The sequence below is a fragment of the Homo sapiens genome, chromosome 4, assembly GCF_000001405.40.
Source record: "Homo sapiens chromosome 4, GRCh38.p14 Primary Assembly".
Lineage (NCBI taxonomy): Eukaryota > Metazoa > Chordata > Mammalia > Primates > Hominidae > Homo > Homo sapiens.
This window is the reverse complement of record NC_000004.12, coordinates 140,698,545-140,721,038: the sequence shown is the minus strand read 5'-3', so window position 1 is coordinate 140,721,038 and position 22,494 is coordinate 140,698,545. Positions and strand designations below refer to the sequence as shown.

At 41.2% G+C, this 22,494-nt stretch overlaps 1 protein-coding gene, 1 long non-coding RNA gene and 1 pseudogene across 2 annotated transcripts in view, besides 1 other annotated feature; 2 read left to right on the top strand and 1 right to left on the bottom strand.

Moving 5' to 3' along the window:
- The window catches only part of TBC1D9 (TBC1 domain family member 9), a 135,604-nt gene that overhangs the window by 35,347 nt on the left and 77,763 nt on the right, over positions 1-22,494 (top strand). Inside the window, exon 2 of the mRNA NM_015130.3 lies at positions 19,425-19,535. Within this exon, the coding sequence (NP_055945.2) occupies positions 19,425-19,535 (111 nt within the window). The remainder of the gene's footprint in view (positions 1-19,424; positions 19,536-22,494) is intronic.
- Positions 31-90: an enhancer, noted in NCBI's record as "active region_21936". NCBI's record gives its function as "activates an Ori minimal core promoter by ATAC-STARR-seq in GM12878 lymphoblastoid cells {active_cell/tissue: GM12878}" and the evidence as "EXISTENCE:reporter gene assay evidence [ECO:0000049][PMID:35858748]".
- Positions 4,943-8,871, bottom strand: TBC1D9-AS1 (TBC1D9 antisense RNA 1). Its single transcript, XR_007058283.1, has 2 exons — positions 8,756-8,871; positions 4,943-5,243 (listed from the first exon to the last, which is right to left on the bottom strand). It is a non-coding gene; the product is annotated as a TBC1D9 antisense RNA 1 (long non-coding RNA).
- Positions 20,097-20,204, top strand: RNY1P14 (RNY1 pseudogene 14; annotated as a pseudogene).

Below are 22,494 nucleotides of genomic sequence, written 5' to 3'. Positions count from 1 at the left end.
CGGGAACCTTCTTCAAAGACTGGCTGAGCTGAGTGAGGGCTCTGACCTCGGTGAAAGAGCACTTTCCAGGAGCAAAGAGAGAAAGGAGCTGCACTTGCCTGTTGGGCCACTGTGGCTCCTGTCTGGGCGCACACACAAAGAGCTGGTCTGTGGTCTCACCTACAAGGGTCATGTTGTTCCCTTCCAGAGAACAAACAGAAAATATTAAACCTGCTGAGGCTGGAACTTGTCACTGAGGTTAGAAGCTTACGGGTCACCTTAGAAACCAGCTCTTCAAAGGTTACTCCTCCAGGAAGAGGGTGCATTAAGGAGCCTTTCCCCTAACAGAAATAGCAACAGCAGAGAACTTGCCCTCTTCTCTGGGATGGCCAATATTACCACCCAGGTAATATGCTGGTATCCTCACTGGCCCTGACGGGCCACAGCCTGCATTTCCTGTGTGTGGGAAGCAGCAGAATAGACTGGCTTGGACAGTTGAGCAAATCCCAGCTTTGCTCACTTAATGTCTCAGCCTCCATTTCCTCATCTGTGAAATGGAGATAATAATTAGCTGGGGTTTTGTGCAGATTAAAGAGATAATTCTGTATTAGGAAACCTCCTAGCCTAAAAGAAGGGGCTTAATAAATCTCCTCTTCCTCATAAGAAGTTTCCTAACTGGTCTTCTGCTCCTGTTGTCTCTTTCCTAACTACCACACACTGTTGTTAGAGTGGTTTTTATACAACAACACATGTGACTCCTGAGCCCAGAAACTTTTTGTTTTATTGATAAAGTTTAAGCAGTTTATCTTGAGGCTGCCCACCACAATCTGATGTCTATCCCAAACCTTTCAAGCACTCCCTTGCTATTGAGCTGATGGACTTACTGCTCCCCACACATCCCATGTGCCTTCCCACCTTGGGGGCTGCCTTCAGCCACCGCAATCGGTACTATTTATTGAACACCTACCAAGTGCCAGGTGCTGTGCAAAATTGGTTCATGTGCAATATTTCCTTTAATCCTCATTACAACCTCTCAGGAAGATACTATTATCTTCATTAAGTGGGTGAAGAAATTGTGGTTTTTATCAGTTATATAGCTTGCCCCAAGGTCATGACCCTAGGAAGCAGTGGAACAGGGATTCCACCCAGGTTCTTAATGCAAAGCCTGTGGTTTTGAAAAGCTACCTTCCACCAAACCCAACTCCAGGAGGCAGTTCAAAACAGTCTCCTGCATGAGTATGCCAGCCTTGGGTAAGTACCGTGTAACATCTTCTGTATTACCCTTGAGCTATGTACCCTTGAACTGACTGAGCAAATGACCATTCTAATGATTGCTATTTGTATGTGCTGCTTCTTTCTTCGCAGCCAGATCCTATTCTCAAAGACATCAGTGATAGATTATATTTCTAGTGCCCAGCAAAGCTTCCTCTCCACAGGTGCTCAGTGTCTATTTCATGATGCTAAGGATGAAATCACATCATGCCTCCAGGACTAAGGCCATATTTTTCCTTTACCTCTTCTAGACACTAATAATCATGGTGACTACTTCCTGGGATTCAGAACATAACTTTAGCAAGCACTTCCTTCCAGTGCCCAGCTTCCTTCTCTGTAGAAAAAGAAGATGCAAGTTTATGTCTTGACGCTCCTTCCCTGCTCCAAAATTAAGCATTATTTAAAGAAAAATCCTAGTTAGATTACATGAGTGAGAGACTCTACAGTTTTTGAAGCACTCCCATACACAGTATGTCATCTGTTTCTCAGCAGCCCTGGGAGACTAGCAGGGAAGATGAAATATCCCTGATGTAGTGGCAGGAAACTATGACTCAGAGAAGCTAAGTGACTTGTCTGAAGCCACACAGCTTGTGAGTGGGGAAATGAAGACTTGAATCCACTTTCTTTTATTTATTTATTTATTTATTTATTTATTTATTTATTTATTTATTTTGAGATGGAGTCCTGCTCTGTCGCCCAGGCTGGAGTGCTGTGGCATGATCTCAGCTCACTGTCACCTCTGTCTCCTGGGTTCAAGTGATTCTCCTGCCTCAGCCTCCGAGCAGCTGGAATTACAGGCACCCACCACAGCCAGCTAATGTTTGTATTTTTAGTAGAGACTAAAAATACAAATTTTTTTTGTGTTTTTACAAAAATAAAAACAGCCTTGCCATGTTGGCCAGGCTGGTCTTGAACTCTTGACCTTAAGTGATCCATCCACCTTGGCCTCCCAAAGTGCTGGGATTACGGGTGTGAGCCACCAGGCCAAGACTGAATCCACTTTCTCTGATTACTTTACACAACACTAGGTAGGAATATTAGGGACATTCTTATTGCTGTCATAGAAATAGGCCAGAACAAACATCTAAATGTTTTTCCTTAGACTGCTGGGTGCTCTTTCGGATTTAAGTTAAATGAGCTTAGTTTTTCTAGGGGTTTCCCTGGTGATCTTCTGGAAATTATTTGAAAATAGCCATGTTGGTAATTTCCTAATCATGTGGCTTGTTCGTTGTGAAAATGTTCAGTCATTGTTGTTGCTTATTCATTGGACTGTCTGGGAAGAGCTAAGGAGGTATGAGGCCCTGGGTTTATGTGGGGTAATTATTACATGGAGGATTATATAGGGTAGCTCTGACTCTGTTTTCCTCAGGGTTCATTCAGAGGAGAGAGTAATGAAGACCAGAGATCCTCACACTTTTGCAAAGAGGGGATTGTTCTGTCTTAATAAAAATGTTCAAAGAACTAGCATAAAGATCAGGCAAATGTCCTGTGAGTCACCTCCCAATGTGCATAGCTGAATGTACTTTTTTTTTTTTTTTTTCTGAAAAAAGGAACAGAAAAAAAACTAGGTATATCACATTTAAATAAAATAAAGCATATTTCATTTAACTTTTTAAAAGCAAACTATGGGGAAACTATATACTATTTACTCAATTGAATTAGTATATACTAATTACTCAATTGAATCCCATCAGTATGCATTGAAATTAAATGTATAGAAATATTGTAGAGTAAAGCACTATTATCTAAAATGCTTTTATGCTTTATTTGTTCTAATACAGAGCTTTCTACCTATTTTCATATCATAGCATACTTAGAAAATGATAGTGTTTGCAGGGCACAAAAGGTATCCTAAGAGCCAAGAGAACAAGTATATTGCTAGCTTGTCATCATTTCCTGGGGTACCACTGGGAAGTTGTGACCTGTAGACTTAAAGAAATAAGTTGGGGGGCTCCTGGGGATACCATGGCTTTCCAGTCTGTCTTTCATGACTGCACTGTGTTCTACCCAGTGGGAACCCTGAGAACATGAAACACATACTTGTCCCAATCACATAATCTTCACGCTGCACCTGAGCTGTAGAAAGAATCTGTTTCCCTGATCTGTGTTCTAGATTTCATAGAGGCCCCGGCCTTCCACCAGCAAAGGAAAAGTTTTGAAGCCAGCAAGTTCTGAGATGAGATGCCTAGTGCTGCCCTTGCCCATTTTCAGCTGAAAGTGAAGGTTTATTGTACCCAGTATATGCTTCAGATAAATTAATTTGATAGTCATAAATGAAATATTGTCCCAACAGGAAAGCTGAGTCATGTCTAAAAGGATTATGCATGGTGAATTAGCCATTAACAAAGAATCATTGCCATTATTGAATCATTTATGTCATAGTTATTGAACAGGAAGGCCTCTACGGTTAGAAGAAGCAGCTTAAATGTTGTTGTTTTTATAACTGGAAAATTTTAAAAACAACAACTTGGGCTTTTCCCCTCTCCCTCTCTCTTTCCTGACCCCTCTCCCAACTCCGGCTCCAAAACAAGACAGGAAAGTTGGGCAAAAGCTCCTGTCTGCATCTCCTGGTTCAGGTAACATATGTTGATTCTCTAAAGGATTATGACTTTTATTTAGGGTGATGTAACAGAACGTGAGGAAGAAAGTGAAACCTTTGTTTATTCAAAGAGGATATTCTTTGAGAAACACTGGCATAAAATAAATTCTTGCAGGTGACTGTCTTTTAAAAAGTTTCAAAATATTTATTTTGATATAACCCAAGTCTTTCATTGTATTATTGTTTTATTAAATGCAGAGATAGGTTGAGACCAAACCTGGAGTTGCTTTTTTTGTTGTTGTTGTTGTTTGTGTTTTTTTTTTTTTTACAGCCCCCATTACTCTAAACTCAGTTTAAATGAGCATGTTTTAAATCAGCATAGTGGGTTGTAGAGGGTGTGGGTGTGTGTGTGATTTTTGCTTTAAGGAACTAGGTGTAGACAATATAATTAAGGGTGAAAAAAACGTAAGTTCTTCATTACTTTAAATTTCCCCATTCACTAATCAATAATATAAAAATAATTTCTCCCACCTTGTGTTTTTGCTCATCAGTTTCTAACTGAGGATGTAAGGAGTCAGTGATACTGTTGGTATCCTACCCCTCTGTTGTGACAAGTTTATAGCATGAAAAGAGAATGGTTTCCTGGAAATGACTTTGTAATTACTTTGCAAAGAAGGGCCCCCAACTCTAGTACACTACTTTTGTTATTGCCAATGATGATTTCTTCTCATCCATTATTGATATTTTTTTTTCTTTTTTGAGACAGGGTCTTGCTTTGTCACCCAGGCTGGAGTACAGGGGCACGATCATGGCTCTCTGCAACTTCCATCTCCAGGTTCGAGGGATTCTCTCACCTCAGCCTCCCAAGTAGCTGGGACTCTAGGCAAGCTCCACTACACCCAGCTGATTTTTAAAAAACTTTTTGTAGACATAGGAGTCTCACTGTGTTGCCCTTGCTGGTCTCCAACTCCTGGGCTCAAGCAATCCTCCTTCCTTAGCTTCCCAAAATGTTGGGATTATGGGCATGACCCACTGTGTCCAACCTATTATCAATGTTTTTCAAAACAGGTTTCAAGCTATCTTCAGGCCATGACTAAACTACTTAGAAAATTTCAGTTGGGCCTAATATATTCTGTAAGGGACTTATCTACATTTACAGGTCATTTACATTTATTGAAAACACATCCTGTTACAATAGACATCTTGATAAAATAAGGGTGTTACTGGTTACCGTACCCATGGTTTTGCACAGTCAAACCATCTTTGGTGAGCTTCTTTGTTTTGTTTCTCTCCCTTGTTGGTGCCAGGGTGTTTTCTTTATTTTCAGGTCTTCCGAGCTCAATTTTCTCTTTAAGGCTTTATCTAGACTTTAGCTGAAGATTGCTCCCACGTTATCCATCACAAAATGAAATTTGTCTGTGAGGTCCCTCAGTCTTATCCAGGTGGATAAAGGCTAAGATAGAAATGGAATGCAGGTGGAGTTGCTTGCCCTCAAAGTGATGAGGTTCCACGAAACTCCCAGGAATCAAGCCAGGCTGCTACTGTATCTCTCCCTTGCAAATAGCATGATTGTTTTAATTACAGTCTGTAGCCACTATTTTTATCTGTGTTAGAATATTTGGATGCAAGACTGGAAAACATTATTGCTGTTAATGCCTTTGCACCTTCTTATATAACTTGCTATAGTGTGGAAGGGAACATTTACTCAAAGAGCCTATCCAGATGGAGCCAAAGGGGTTAGTTAGGGTTTTTGTTGGTCACTTTGGGTTATAAGGAACAGGAGTCATTCAAGGTACTATGAATTCAACTTGCTGGGCTTTGTTACCAGGATGTATGCAAACTGCAGCCAGTCTGAAAGACCAGAAGCAAGATAACTGGAGGGTATAAACTGAAAATTCTAAGCTCCCCCAACTGATTGATTGGACCCCTTCTGTCAGCCAAGGGGATTCCAAAGTAAACCTGAAAAACTAGTTCAGGCCGTGATGAGAAAGGGGGGTCAGACATGCCTCATTATACTCTCCTTCCTTTGGAATTCAGGCACAACTGACCAGTATTAATATTAAAACAGAGATCTTAAGACTGACAAAACAGACTTGCTTTGTTTGTTTGTTCGTTTGTTTGTTTTGAGACAGGGTCTCACTCTGTCACCCAGGTTGGAGTGCAGTGGTGGGGCTACTGCTTACTGCAGCCTCGATCTCTCCTGGCCTCAAAAAATCCTCCCACCTTAGCCTCCCGAGTAGCTAGGGCTATAGGTGCACAACGCCACACCTGGCTAATTTTTAAATTTTTTTGTAGAGACAGGATCTCACTGTGTTGCCCGAGCTGGTCTCCTGGGCTCAAACAATCTTCCTGCTTCAGCCTCCCAAAATTCTGGGATTACAGGCATGAGCCACTATGCCTGCTCCAAAACAGACTCTTTGTAGCAGTAAGGTGCCTAATTCCAACCTGACTCTAGTATAGCATCACATGACAGAGAGCAGACTCTGAAAAAATTATTTTACCCCAAAATGTATTTCTTTAGCATGTTTTAAAATGGTCCTGGAAAGCTATCTCTTATGGAGGAAATGTACATTTTGTAGAAAGTCTTCCCTTTTCAGGTCTTTTTCTGATCCTGAAGAGATTAGCTCAGAGCTTAGCACCTTGTAAAGGTCTGAAGAGAAAACATTTGCTGTCTGTTGCCTCTCAGAGTGGCCACCTATGAGACATCATCTAAATAATAAGAATTTTGGTCTCCATAACCCCTTATCTTAACCCAACCACTTCTTTCTAACGATTAGAAGTCTTTAGATCATAACTTTCAATCGCCATTAAGAAAATCCTTGAATCCACCAAAGACCCAGAAGCCCCCACTTTGAGTGGTTCCTCCTGTCCAGACCAAGTTGATATACACCTTACATGTGTTGATTGATGTCTTATGTCCCTGTAAAACATATAAAACCAAGCTGCAACCCAGCCACCATGGGTACATGTTCTCAGGACCTCTTGAGACTGCCTCAGGCCTTGAACACTCATATTTGGCTCAGAATAAACCTCTTTAAATATTTTACAGAGCTTGACTCTTTTTTGCCAACAAGGGAAGTGGCTCATCTTTTCATCCTAGGCCACGTTTTAGCCTTGTGTGTTTGCACTAATCAAAGTCCCTGGTGAAAGGCTGCACAAGGTTGCCTTATTCTGTATCATCTTGCATTCACCTCTTCAGCCCCCCAGGCTAATATTATGCCAAGGGTTACCGATTCTGATTTTTGCCAGTGACCTTTACAGAAAGCAGCAGGAGCTGATTGGTTAAGTGGCTTCATCATTTACAAACTCTTATAGTAGGATCTTTAATGTTTCATTGATCCTATAGTATTAAAAACTGCAATTACTTTTGCACCAACCTAGTGGTTCATTATTTGATTATAATACATGTACATTGTACAAATTATAAAAGTACAATGTTTTATAGTGTATAGTTCCAATAGTATAGAAATTACTTTAAAAAATATAGTTTTTTTTTTTTAATTCTTTTTCAGAGATAGGGTCTCACTCTGTCTCCCAGGCTGAAGTGCAGGGTGTGGTCTTAACTCACTGCACCCTCTACCTCCTGGGCTCAAGTGATCCTCCTGCCTCAGTCTCCCAAGTAGCTGGAACTACAGGCATGCACCACTACACCTTGCTTAATTTTTAATATTTTTTTTGTAGAGACAAAGTCTTAATTATTGCCCAGGCTGTCTCAGACTCCTGGGCTCAAGTGGTCTTCCCACCTTGGCCTCCCAAAGTCCTGGGATTACAGTCCACTGTACCTGGCCTAAAAATATATTTCAAATAATAAAAAATGTTTCTGATTTCTGCCATATCAATCTCATTCCCAAGAGGTAACCATTATTAAGTTTAATATGCATCTTTCCTGGCATTTCCTTTGTTAATATAAGCACAGAGTGGCTGGTCTCCTGGGCTTTTTTCTTTGTCTTGCTTATATGTAGCTGAAGGCAACACCATGGGTACTTAGAGATTTAATGAATACTCAGTGGAAGGCCCATGAGGCGGCTCACACCTGTAATCCCAGTGCTTTGGGAGGCCAAAGTGGGAGGATCCCTTGAGCCCAGGAGTTGTAGACCAGCCTGGGCAACGTAATGAGACCCCCATTTCTATAAAAAAATTTAAAAATTAACCTCAAGACTCAGACCTTAGTTATAGATTAAAAGAAGTTAATCACCTATGTCTTTAGATGAATGCACACTTACATGTAGACATATAGCTTAGAAGGTATATAAGCTCTGGAAAACTGTAATTTTGAGTTGGTCTGGTGATAATTTCCAGGCCTTCTCCCTGTAACCGGTTGCAGAAATAAAAACTTTCTTCCTCCCCAGTTCATTTGCATCTCGTTATTAGGCCATGAGAAATAGCAGCCCGACCCTCAGTTTGTTCCGGAAACAATCATGCCACTGCATTCCAGCATGGGCAACAGAGCAGGATCCCATTTATCTATCTATCTATCTATCTATCTATCTATCTATCTATTTTTTTGAGATGGAGTCTCACTCTCTTGCCCGGGCTGGAGTACAATGGCGTGATCTCGGCTTCACTGCAACCTCCGCCTCCCGGGTTCAAGCAATTCTCCTGCCTCAGCCTCCTGAGTAGCTGGGACAACAGGCGCCCGCCACTACGCCTAGCTAATTTTTTGTATTTTTAGTAGAGATGGGCTTTCACCATGTTGGCTAGGCTGGTCTCGAACTCTTGACCTCGTGATTTGCCCGCCTGGGCCTCCCAAAGTGCTGGGATTACAGGCCTGAGCCACCGCACCTGGCATATATATATATTCTTTTTTTTTAAAGAGCATATTCAGAGAATACTTGATAAAAATGGTAAAATCAATTTGATTCATTTTGACACTGTAAACTTCCTGACTTGAGATAAACTAGTTATTAAACATCAAGTGCCTGCAACTGGAGTAAGGAATGTGATTCAGTGTGTATGAATACGTACCAGTTTGTAGCATTGATGAACTCCGTATACCAGAGGGAAAAAATGAACTTCAAAAAAAAATTTCTAAAATGTAAACGCCAGGTCCCTCTCCAAGGAAGTGTGTTTTTGAGGGAGCCTCTCATTTAGATATGGACTCTTAGCTAGCATGTTGCAACCTAGCAACAAGATTTCTAACCTGTGGTTATCTGTTGTGAAGTAGCAGCGTTAGTATAACCATGGTAACTGTCTGTTTGCTTGATGGCATGAGCTCTCTTTGAGTAAAAAAAGCCCAAAATAAAAGGTTGGAGGTAATTATATATTTTTTGTTTTCTCATCATAAATGTATTGAATGTACATTTGAGATATTTTTGAAAACACAGAAGACCATAAAATAGCAGAATTGTCATCTCACCTACTAATGTTAATATTCATATTTAGTTTTGTATTCTTTAAAATTAATACATGTATTGTAATTTGTAATATAGGTTATATTATACTTTTTTAGACAAATTGGGATCATACAGAATAGTAATTAGTTTTGTGCTGTTTTTCATATGCTAGGTGCATTTCACCATGTCATGAAATAATTACTTGAAGGTATGATTTTAAATGTCTACATATTATATCAATGTACTATAATTTATTTAGACATTGTAGGTCATTACCTAAATGTAATTTTGAATTCAGAATTATTTCTATTTCATATTATTTCGTTGCCAAGTTGTTCTTCAGCTTATCGATGCTCTCAATTATTGGCAGTTGAATTACGTAAGAGGATACATGAATTAGAAGAAGGGTTGACATCTCAGGACAGTGAGTGGCTTCTGCAAATGTGGCCTTCCTGAGAGAAGGGATCTGAGGGGTATTGCCCCCAGGTATCCAGGAGGGGATTGATATAGCTAATCTCTTAGAAACAGAGGTGGGCTTCATAGCGATGAACTCTTCCTACCACACCAAAAAGGCCCCTCCTTCCTACCTCTCAAGGTTGACCTTGGCTGACCTTGACCTTTGAGTTTTAGGTTTTCAGACCCGCCTCTACAGCCAAGATTAGAATCAATATAACTTCCTGTTGCACACAGAAGCAGCTGTAAATCTAAGACAATAGCATCCACTTTCCTATTACGGGACTTGAGGGGAAATTAAATTAAGCCCCCGCCTTTTGAGGGGCTTCTTTGAGGAATTAGATCACACAAGGCTTGGCGTAATTTTTTAATAACTTCAATCACATTGTCCTCACTGGTCCGTATCAGAGCAGATTTGAGTCCTGCACAAAGTCTGAAAGCAGCAAGCTTGTTCGTGGGGAAAGAATGAGCCAACACACTGCTGGGGTTTCAAGGCCAGCTTCCTAGGTATGCTTGTACACAGGAACCTACACTTAGAAAAGCGCTGGGCTTGGCTTAATATTCTACTGCTGCTGCCTTGAAATTCTGAAGAATTTTTTAACAAGGGGTCCTGAATATTCTTTTTGCACTGGGCCCCACAGATTATGTAGTTGGTCCTGATTAGGGTGTAGAGCAAGGTATTGCAGTAATAAAGTATTTGAATCATTCCTTCCTCAGACCACCCCCCCACCCAGGAGAAGGAAAAATCCATTCCAACTGTTCTCACTTTATGCAGGAGCAGGTGCTTGTGACTTTAAGAGATGGGCTTGCAGGGGAAATGGAACAGCTCCTGGAAGACATGGCCTTTTGAGGGTGCTTAGGAGATTTGAGCAGCACATACTAATTGGATACAGATAAAATGCTCTTCAGATTTTAGTTTTCTGCTCTGTTTGTTTAGTCATAACCCAGCCTGTGTTTTATCTTTTGAGGTGGAAAATATGAAAGTCACGGCTTCTCTCTCTCTTGTTGAGCATTTACTTTGTGAGTACTTATATGAACATGTATATCAAAGACCCTGTGATCCAGAATACTGCTTAAAATTCTACAGAGTGGGCGCTCCACCTCTCTTAGCTTTGTCATTCTTCTCCCTTTAGCTCACTCCCCTCTTTGTAAGAAATGAGGCAGGGGTCTCTCGGGGATCACCTAACACACTAGTTCATATTCCCAGCACTTTTTAACCAGTGCCCCTCGGGATAAACATACAACAAAACCCTCATGCCTCCTTCATTCACATATGTTGAGTTTTATGTTAGTTTGTTGAGTTTTATATTGGTTTGCATTGTGAAAACAGTCATTTTTTCCCAAATGAGAGTTATAGAATTGCGTGTGCTCTGTAAAGCTATATAAATGATTCTAAGAAACACAGTCCCAAGAACATGACTGCCCTAGAGCCTCTCCTCCCCTAATTTAATACTGTTTAAAGCAGGGGTTCCTGACTGTCAGGCTGCAGACAAGTACCTGTCAGTCCGTGGCCTGTTAGGAACTGGGCTGCACAGCAGGAGGTGAGTGGCAGGTGAGGGAGCATTTGAGCTCCACCTCGTTTCAAATCAACTGCAGCATTAGGTTCTTACAGGCACGAGAACCCTATTGCGAACTGCACATGCAAGGGATCTAGGTTGCAAGCTCCTTAAGACAATCTAATGCCTGATGATCTGAGGTGGAACAGTTTCATCCTCAAACCATCCCCAGACCACCCCACCCCCAACTCTGGTCCATGGAAAAATTGTCTTCCATGAAACCAGTCCCTGGTGCCAAAAGGTTGGGGACTGCTGACTTAAAGTACCAAATTTTAAACTGTTAACCAGTCTGCCTCCAGCTAAGAACAGATATTGAGATTAAGCATTTAGGAACCTAGAACAATTGTCTGTTAAATTTAATCAAAAAATTGGAAGCTTGTATTTTTTATGTCTTTTTTTTTTTTAGTATTCCATATGCATCATATTTTTACAAAAGTGTCAGTCTGTAACAGATTGAAAACTAAAAAACAAAGAAAAACTGATTTTTTTCAGCCCCGTCCCCCAGTTGGCAAAACTGATTCTTAGCCACAATGTTTGAGAAGCACTCTCCTAATTGAGTCAACAGTGTATTTCTTAGACTTCTTAATTCATCTTTTGACGAACAATGATGAATTGGGGTGTGTGTGTGTGTGTGTGTGTGTGTGTGTGTGTGTGTGTGAGAGAGAGAGAGAGAGAGAGAGAGAGAGATAAGGCTGGTTCCTTCCCCACAGGTAACGGTGTCATCCTTGAAGGCAGCCATGATACAGGGGCAGCTAGAATGGGGTTATGAGAAGCAGCTATTGAAATTGAGAGGAAAGAGTTGTGGATGGCCGTTTAAAACAATAACATTCCATAGTAGGCTTGTTGAGAACCATTTTTATCTAGAGATGCTGGAGAGTGGAAGAATGTATGATACTTATGAAAACAAAATTGCTCCCACCATTCGACACTGAAGGTAGTATCCAAGTATTGGGATTGGTTACATGTCTATCCATGCCCTTCTAATCTCTTTCCCCTATTGCCAATAATACCTGCGCCTGAGAATAATATAATACTCTTTGAGGTCACGGAACAGAACAATACATTGTACCCATCTCCTGTCCCAGCCACCTTCCCTGACAAACCTCCCACATCCCCCACCTCCTTACCCATAGAACAGCCACCACCTGTATTCCCCTTTCATACATAATGTGGCTGGCCAACATTAGCTCACATGTACCTTCACATTGGCTATGGTGCCTCTAGGAACTCTGGCGCATTTATAATTATGGAGCTGACCCTCACCTGGCCATTTCAGCATTCTTCACACCTGCACACAGAACCATTTTCCTAATCCCTCCCTTGGTCCCCTGGCCAGTATGGTGTGCAAACCGTATTTACCAGTCTGTGTGTTGGGCACAAGGGTTTCAATTGGTTAATTAAATCTGTGAATTTTCTTGTTTATTGACAATTGCCAAAGTAGGAGAATAGAGACTTGTCTTTTCCCTGAATATTTCTGCTTTTGATCTAACTTAATTCCAGATAAATTTCAATACTGATTAAAAAGTAACAAATTACTTCTGAAATTGGAGAAATTGATTTCCCAAGGTAAGCAGTTTCAGATATGAGTTTGGTTTGCATTATTACCTCACAGTCTTTGAAATGGGATTTTTAGCTGCCTTCTCAAGTCTTTGTCTCCTTTCTAAGATTCTTAGACAATTTTAATTATTTAAGGCAGATTTGCTAGAACTTATAATATTGGAAACTATGGTACAAAGATGAATTAGTTCTTAAAATAATTCTGGTTTCTCCCAATGTTCATCAAATTGAGAATTTTGTGGTCCACATTATAAATATTCAGCATAATGTGCTGAACATTATTGTAGGCTTTGAGACTCCCAAGATAAATAAGGCAGTGCTTGTCCTTAAATTGCCCAGGGTCTGGTGGGAGGAAACCATACTTTTTTTTTTTGAAGTAGGAAACAATGTAGTAATTACCTTAGTGTAATATAAGTCAAGATGGTTGGCAGAACCCAAAAAAGCTAACAGTTAATTGCCAGGAGATTTGGGGGGCTTGAGTGTTGAGAACATTGGTTGGGAGCGTGCCGGAGAAAACAGGGACACATGCATTAGGTGACCTTGACCTGGATATTGAGGGAAATAGAAGTTTGCCAGGATGAGAAACACTTGTACAAAGCCTTGGAGGCTTTAAAAAGTAACAAGCAGACAAACAAGGCTCATTAAAGAAGTGTAAAAGTTATGGTATGGCTAGAGAGTTTGTAGGTATGTCAGCAGCTGCTTCTGAATGTTTCCATTTAATTACTTTCTGACCAGTATCATGTAAGTGTTAAGACTTCTAGAGAATGTATCACTTACATCTAAGGAGCAGCAGCCAGAAGAACAGGTGGCAGCAGGTGGCCTACAGAAACCTACCATCTTCGCAGATAGTAAGCCAGGCATGGAAGTGATGCACTGGAGAGGAAGTACTGAGCCAAAAGTCTTGCATGTGTATAGAAGATATATAAAGAAGTAAATCCAAGGATACTGCATCTCTGGCTTTAGGGAGATCAGTGAATATTTGCTGAAATGAATGGAAATCCAGTATGTATATAAATGGAAGCTTCTAGATGGTGAACTCTGAATGTCTAATGGGACCTCTTAGCAAATGTCACCACAATGGGAAAGGCAAATAACTCACAAAAAAGGAAATTGGAATGGCCAATAAACAAGAAAATTAATTAGTAATCAGAGGAATGCAAATTTAACTAACAAACAGGTACCATTTCTCACTCTAGAGATTGGTGAAAATAAAAAAAAAAACCTGGTAATACTAAGTATTGGAGATATTATGGAGAAACAGGTATTCTCACACTTTCTTGAGCACTTTAGAGAGCAATTTTGTAATATCTAATAAGGTTTAGAAATGAACTTACCCTAGGACCTGACAATTCCATTCTAAAGAAATGTGCTTAGGTGCTTAAGGATTTATGCAAACAGAATACGATTACAGTTGCATAATAGAGCAAAAAGTGTGGATAGATCCAATGTCCTTTACTAGGAAAACAGATAAGTTGTAATATACTTATATAGTGGAATATTGCACAATATTTTAAAATGAATGAATCAGATTTACAAGTATATTCTGGATAAATTTTACAAACATATTGATTGAAAAAAATAAGCTGCAGTGTACCTTGCAGACAAATTTGTAAAATACTCATCAGTTTTAAATTTTTTATATGAAAAACATGGCTCAGTAAAAGTATAAGGACCTGGATAGGAAGAATACAAAACAATTTAAGAATGGTTAATGGAGAGAGGGAAATGGGATTAAAGGAGTGCAAAGGGAACCTCACTGTGGCTGTTACCTTTTCTTTCTGTTAAAAAAAAAAATAGATCGGAAGCAGGTAAGGCAAAGTGTTAAAAAAGTCAGAGTAGTGGTACATGTATTTTGTAATTTCCTGTACTTTTCTATTGTTTTGAATGATTCATTACACAATAGTGCTTAGTGCATACTAAGCACTTTCTAGGGTAGATACTATTATTTCTTTATCAGGAAGCAGGGGCACAGAGAGATTAAGGGACTGGCTGGTATGTGAGCCAAAGCTGAGCCCACTCCCCTGACCACTCTGCCATGGATTTCCTGGATCTCTGCTTCATTTTGGACCAGCGTCAGGACTAATGGAGTCGGGGAGGCCAAGTGATCTTTAGGATCCTGTCCAGTTTAACTTTAGCCCTGATCATCAGTAGATGGATCGATCATTTCCATGAGCACATTTCTGCATGGCAGCACACTCCTGACATAGCCCGGCCTGCAGAGGGCTGACGGGGGTTTCTCTGCAGCACTGTGGACCTGCCACCTGTACCAGCTCCCAGCTAGGCTGCAGTTGTGCAGTGGTGACTGTGCATCACACATCTTCCAGTGCCCACAACCAAATGGGAAGCAAATATGGAACAATTTTGCCAAGTGTTTTCTGAATCTCCTTGAAAACAGCACTTTTACATTATAAGATGCCACTGTACTAATGTAATAGGTAGATGCAGAGAAGAGTTATTTTGAGGGCTGTAATTTGATTTCGTTATCTTAGGCAATCAAGATTGTTTAACACCAGAAATAGCTGACTAGAACAGCTGCTAAAACAGCGCTTTGTGTGGGAAATGAAGAAAAGGTTCAGTATTTTGACAGCCATTTCCAAGGTATGAGTAATGAGACTTCTAAGAAAATCGTAATTGTTGCTGCTTTTGCAGTGGGGCGGGGGGATTCTCTAGACCAGATTTCCCATCTCCTAGTATTCTACATCAATAGAGGACAAAGGAGGAGTATTTCCTTTTTCCCAGGGTCTTGACTTCATGTACCAACAGAGTTTAGATAGCATGGTGATAATTTATTATTTAGGTTTAAAACGCACACACACACACACACACACACACACACATGCACACACCCCTCACTTGTCCATTTATCATCAACCATGTGTTTAGTGCTTACTGGACTCCAAAGTGCAGGGCCTGTGGGTCCAAAATAATCAATTAGACCCTGCCCTCAAGGAACTCTCAGTCTGGAGAGAAGAGGAAAAAATGGGACAAGGCAAAATGTGCAAGTAATCTTAAACAAATGTAATAGGCATTATAGAGGCAGAACTGGGAGGAAGAGTAGAGTAGGAATGAGACGGCATTAAAAGATTAGGAGTTTGCTGCTGTTTGAGGTCGGGGGAGACAAGAGCAGACAGACAAGCACAACATTTTGAGTGATCAGTGTTATCCAGGCATGAAAGGACTCAGCACTTCTGGGTTAATATGGAAAGAGTCTGTTTCTTGATTTGACTGGCCAACTGCATACCTCAATTCACAATATTACTTTCTGTTTGGATATCCAGTGCCTTAAATGTTCAGGGAATTTTCACAGAAATTCTCTCATTTAAATGTATCTAATGTGAATATCCTGATATTATACTTTCTGTAATTTACTTGAAAATATTTCAGCATGTACCTGTGCTACGTACATGTATATCTGTTAGTTTTCATCCAAGTCTTAGTGGAAGTTGGTGGCGCCAGTTGTGAATGCAGAGGTAGGGTTGGTGAACTTGCATCTAATGAGAAACCCTCACTCCAGGGGGCTCTGCTTTAAGCAACTGGGTTTTCTTTATCTCTAATTGACACCAGAGGCTTTGTTAATTAGAATAGTTTATGTTGAGGTTGGATTTTAGTTGGGAACATTGTGGTGGTGGAGATATGTGGATTGGGTTAGACCTTTTCAGAGGTCTTCCTTCTTTTGTGTTACAGAGGACAAAAGTTCAGTGAGCCATTAAGGATGATAAAACTGAGGCTCCAGGAGGAAGTGGCAGAGTCAGAATTGAAGCATTCTAGAACCAGGACTGCCCCTGTCCGCTGCTCTGCCCTGCCCAGTCAATTATGCTTGCCCTTGGAAGAGTCTTGGTCTTTGATGATACTCAGAGGCTTATTAAACCACACAGGCCGATTCTTTTTTGTCCTTTTCTTTTTTTTTTTTTTTTCTGATTTTTTGTTTTGTTTGTTTGTTTGTTTGTTTGAGACAGAGTCTTGCTCTGTTGCCCAGGCTGGGGTGTAGTGGCATGATCTCAGCTCACTGCAACCTGCGCCTCCCAGGTTTAAGCAGTTCTCCTGCCTCAGCCTCCCTAGAAGCTGGGATTACAGGTGCACACCATTGTGCCTGGCTAATTTTTTTTGGATTTTTAATGGGGAAGGGTGTTCACCATGTTGGCCAGGCTGGTCTTGAACTCCTGGCCTCAAGTGATCCACCCGCCCCAGCCTCCCAAAGTGCTGGGATTGCAGGTATTAGCCACCGCGCCTAGCCCACAGGCTGATTCTTGATTGCAACCCTCTAAACCCAGACTAAAGTTTGTATGCCTTAGAACCAACATATATGACACTTGTAGTAGTTTCAGCATTTTATTTCTTATTTTGATTCAAGATGTGAGAGGTATTACAAACACTCAATTATGAGTGATGCATTTATGTGTCCTATTCTTCCATCTGTAGATAAGTGAAAAGTCATTTAAGAAATTAGAGGTCTCTGTAGTAAATCCAAGTCACAGTAAAGCAAACAAAAATGCATATGTGTGTGATATAATGTGGAACTCTACCCCCTTGGAAGACTTTGCAGGCTGTAAGAATTTCATTTTTAATGTATTTCATACAGGCCGGAGCTAACAAGTTAATTTCTATTGAGCAAAAGTTTTTTGTTTGTTTTTTTCCTGGTATGTTGAGGTCAGCTAATGGTCACTGTGGTTTGGAGTGAATCTAAATGGATTTTTTGCCCTTGGACAAAGACCAAGGACAACTGTAGGACTTCTGCATGGTCTACCTCACTTAGGCTTCTTGATTAATAACTCTGGTTCAGGAAGGCAAGGGCAGTTATGACCACTTTACAACTGAGGAAATCAAAGCAACGAGAAGTTAAATGGCCTGTCCCACTCCACAGAAATGGTTATAACAGAGTCAGAGCCAGAACTGAGCTCTTCCGAACATGAGTTGACTAGATTATGGCTCCTTCCGTGACACCAGGATGCCAGAGCAGTGGGAAGTGAATTTCAGTGGCATTGTGCATATCAGGGTCTTATTTGGTATGGCCAGAACCAAACCTCAAGACATTATTACAAAATAACATGAGGTACTGGTGGCAACATTTTCAGAATTTGTGCCTCAGATTCAGCAAAACTTCAGGAAAAGCCTGCAATATGGCACTGAGCTTTGCTGCTTTCAGTATCAACAGTTGCAAACAAGGGAGGCTGGGGCCTTTAGCCTCCATCTCCCAGCTTCAAATACCATTAGTTCTATCCCAAAGTCATCCTCTATAAACATGCAATCTAAATAAAGGTAAAATTCGATAAAAGTATCTTAGCAGGTTTTTTTCAGGTGGCCTAATCCCTCATTCCAAACAGCCTATTACCCCTAAGTCTTATTACCTTCAGTCTTCAAAAACAATCCTGGGGTAGTAATAGTGTCTCCATTTGGCAATTGAGAAAAGGGAGATTTTTGGAAATAAAGTGTCTTGGGCTAATATTGTCAGCTGGTCTGAGCTCCTGATTGGTCCTTCTGAGTCCAAGCCCTGCTCTATACTGGGTTCCATGTAGCTTTAGAGTAACTGTGGGCATTTACATTATGGGAATCTTTTGGATTCATCTTTCCAATTAAGGGATCTAGTTTATTATACCTTGGAGAACGTATGTGTGTAATCTGTGTTATTTTAAAATACTGTAGAAAATGTTTGGTGCCAATCCCGCTTCAGTGTGGTTAAAAGGTGGTTAAAAGAGAAATTTGCACTGATGACAGGTTCCCAGTTTGAAGCTGTCAGAATCCTTGTACTGTCACCACCATACCTGACAAGTTGTCTGGGAACATTGGAAAAAGATTGCTGAGTGAGAAACAGGGTTGTGCGTTCTCCGCATGGCTGGAGTGCCTCAGCCGGGTCATCTGGGCAGACTTCACCTTAGAGGCACCTTCCACCTTTGCTCACTAAGCTGCCTTCTGCTCTTAATTTCCTTTTCCTTGTCAATTTTCCTCCTAGAAAGAGAAGGTACAGCCTGTTCTTAAGTGAGCATTGGTATACTGGGCATTTGTATTCCTTACAAATAAATTGCTAAATTCTTTTGCTGAACATTCAGGCTTGTCTGGACTTGGACAATGTGAACAAGTTTTCACATGGGCCTGGTAAACCCTGGATAAGTGGATCACTGGGGTTCTTGACTGAAAGAACTAAACTTTGTGCTAAAAATGCAGACCCTGATCCTCAACCTTATTCCTGCATCATTTCATAGCATAAACCAGGCTCTGGTTAGCCCTGGTTATCGTGACTGATGTCACAAATGGCAGAGGACTCTGCTGTGGAAATGGGAAGATCCCTCTGTTTCCCGGCCCTAGCTCACTTCTAAACACAGTACCAAAGCACTGCCTGACCTTCTTCTCCACTTGATGATAAATGCCCTGGGGATGCTGTCTTCTTCAGTTTTGTGCCCACAGGGTTTGTTTTGCACATAGTAGGAATTTAATTAGTGTTTGCTGAGCTGAATTGTACTAATTTTTTAAACATAAATGGAAAGTGGGGCAGATGAAAATAACATGTGGGGCAGCCTGGCAGACTGAATCAGATGGACACGACTGCTTCTCGTGACCTTGTCAAGTTGTGCAACTTGTGTAGAGCCAGCATCATCCTAAAATGAAATTTTTCAAGGTGTGGTTCAGTGGGAGATGGGGTTGTTGGAAGATCTCATGAAAGGGCATGTTCATGCTGCCCCTGGGAATGTGGGAAAGTACTAAGGCAATTCTTACCTGTTTCTCCCCACTTTCCACCCTCAGGCCTGCTGGTGGGTACCCTTGATGTTGTGTTGGACTCCAGCGCCCGGGTCGCTCCTTACCGAATCTTGTACCAGACTCCAGACTCCCTGGTCTACTGGACCATCGCCTGTGGTAAGCAACCACATCCAGAAATACACAAGTTTTAAAAGAAGCGTTAGGGTTAACAACTTTTTATCAGAAGGAAAGGAACGTGTACTTGCTGAATGCAATCACTGGTATTTTAGGGTAATTAACCGTAGCCATTTCAACACATGAACCCAAAGTCTCAGTGGCTTAACACAATGAAAGTTTCTTTCTCACTCTGATAGAGTCGTGTTGGGATCATGTGGCCTCCTCCATGTGTAGTGACACTCTCTGGAACACAAGGCCTCCAAGGTCAGCATACAAGGGAAGAGTGTGAGGGTGGAGCACATCTGTGTTTAACTTCCTTGGCCCAGAAGTGGCACACTCCACCTTCCATTTCACTCACACTTAGTTGGCCGAGACTAGTCACGTGGGCCCAACCTCACTGCAGAGGAAGCTGGGAAATGAAGAGAGTTGTGTGGAATACTTGGATGTACTAAGTATATATCCTAGCACAGTACTTCCTACTGAGTAGGGATTCTTTATTTCTCCTGATGATAATCAGTAATGCTGTGCTGTGCTTAAAATAGTAGTCAACAATCTTGCTTTGGCTGGTCCGAAGGTCATGAGCTATCTCCATTGATCACAGTCAGTTGCAGATGGAACTCCTTTTCTACTCTTTCCCCACTTCTCACTGCTGCACTTGACTAGTCTTAATTTTTTTTTTTTTCCCAGACGGAGTCTCACTCTGTCACCTAGGCTGGAGTGCAGTGGCGTGATCCCGGCTCACCACAATCTCCACCTCCCAAGTTCAAACAGTTCTCCTGCCTCAGCCTCCCCAGTAGCTGGGATTACAGGCACCTGCCACCATGCCAGCTAATTTTTGTGTTTTTACTAGAGATGGGGTTTCACCATGTTGGCCAGGCTGGTCTCGAACTCCTGACCTCAAAGCAATCTGCCCACCTCAGCCTCCCAAAGTGCTAGGATTACAGGTGTGAGCCACTGCACCCAGCAAAAAAAATTTTTTTTAATCTTGCTTTTATTGGATCTCTCATAAGAACTTCTAGTCCAAACTGGGCAAGTTTTTTTTTGTTTTTTTTTTGGGACGGAGTCTTGCTCTGTTGCCCAGGCTAGAGTGCAGTGGTGCGATCTTGGCTCACTGCAACCTCTACCTCCCAGGTTCAAGCGATTCTCCTGCTTCAGCCTCCCAAGTAGCTGGGATTACAGGCTCATGCCACCACGCCCAGCTAATTTTTATATTTTTAGTAGAGACGAGGTTTCACCATGTTGGTCAGGCTGGTCTTGAACTCCTGACCTCAGGTGATCCGCCCCCCTCAACCTCCCAAAGTGCTGGGATTACAGGCATGAACCACTGCGCCTGGACTTTTATTTTTTTTTTTAATATAATTTCTTTTTTTGTAGAGATGGTGTCTCTCTGTGTTGCCCAGCCTAGTCTTGAACTCCTGGGCTCAGGTGAGCCTCCTGCTTTGGCTTCCCAAAGTAAAGGGATTGCAAGCATGAGCCACTGCAATTGGCCCAAAATGGCCAAGTTTTTGTTTGTGTGTGGCTTTTAAAATAACCATAAGAAAAGTAAGGGCTCTATATGAACACTTTTTTTAACTTTTATTTTTTTGCCTCTACTTGATTTACAGGAAAGTTGAGCAGATTGTTCAGAGAACTCTCATCTATACCACCCCCCATGCAGAGTTTCCTCTATTATTAACATCTTACTATGGTACATTTGTTATAATTAATGAACCAGTGTTGATACATTATTTGTAAGTAAAGTCCATTGTTTGTTCAGATTTCCCTCATTTTCTTTTTCTGTTTCAGTATCCCATCTGGTACAACATTATAGTTAGTCGGTCATATCCCGTTAGGCTCCTCTGGGCTGTGGAAGTTTCTCAGATTTTCCTGGGCTTGGATGATCTTGACAGTTTTGAAAGATACTGATCCAGTATATTTTGGCATGCTCCTCAATTGGAATTTGTTTGATATTTTTCTCATGATTAGACAGGGGCAGTAGATTTTTGTGAGGAAGATCACAGAGATAAAGGGCCATTTTGTTTCACCATGCCAAGTGTACATTTTATCAACATGATTTATGACTGCGGGCCTCCTTGATCACCTCCCTGAAATAGTGTTTTTTTAGGTTTGTCCACTGTAAAGTTACTCTGTTCTTCCCCTTTTCAAAGTATTCTCTTTGGAGGGAAATCACTATGTGCAGTCCATACTTAAGGAGTAGGGATTTTTCTCTCCTTTAGGGTAGACTATTGACATAATTTATGGAGAATTCTCTTGCACAGTAAATTTATCTTTTCTCCCTCATTTATTTATTTAATTATTTATGTCACTATAGACTCATGCCTATTTATTTTGTCTTCTGGGTTATAATCCAACATTACTTTATTCTTTGCTCAAATTGTTCCAGCTTTGGCCATTGGGAGCTTTTTCAGTTGACTTCATTCATTTTTAAAATTGATCTTTACTTGGTAGGAAGTGCTGTGCTGGGATCTAAAAATATAAAGACAATTATATTTGGTCTCTGCTCTTGAGAAACGTACAGTCTAGTGAGGATACAAGTAAATAGTCAATTACAGCCCAGTGTGAACCAGTGCCTTACAGTTCCATTTAATTTCTGGGCATCCAACTAAAGAGAGGAATATAGGCTAGCCTCCTGCAGAATTAGAGGAGGTTATCTGGGTGTGATTTCAGGCTGCTGGCAAGCTCCATTGCCTGGGTAATTCTCCTTCAAGGATTTAGTAGTACCTGAAATTCTAACATTGTAATTATGTCTTTCCCCCCCCCACCCCCGAGATGGAGTCTCACTCTGTCGCCCAGGCTCGAGTGCAGTGGCACGATCTCAGCTCACTGCAACATCTGCCTCGTAGGCTCAAGCGATTCTCCTGACTCAGCCTCCTGAGTAGCTGGGATTACAGGCACGCCCTGCCAGTTTTTGTATTTTTAGTAGAGACGGGGTTTTACCATGTTGGTCAGGCTGGTCTCG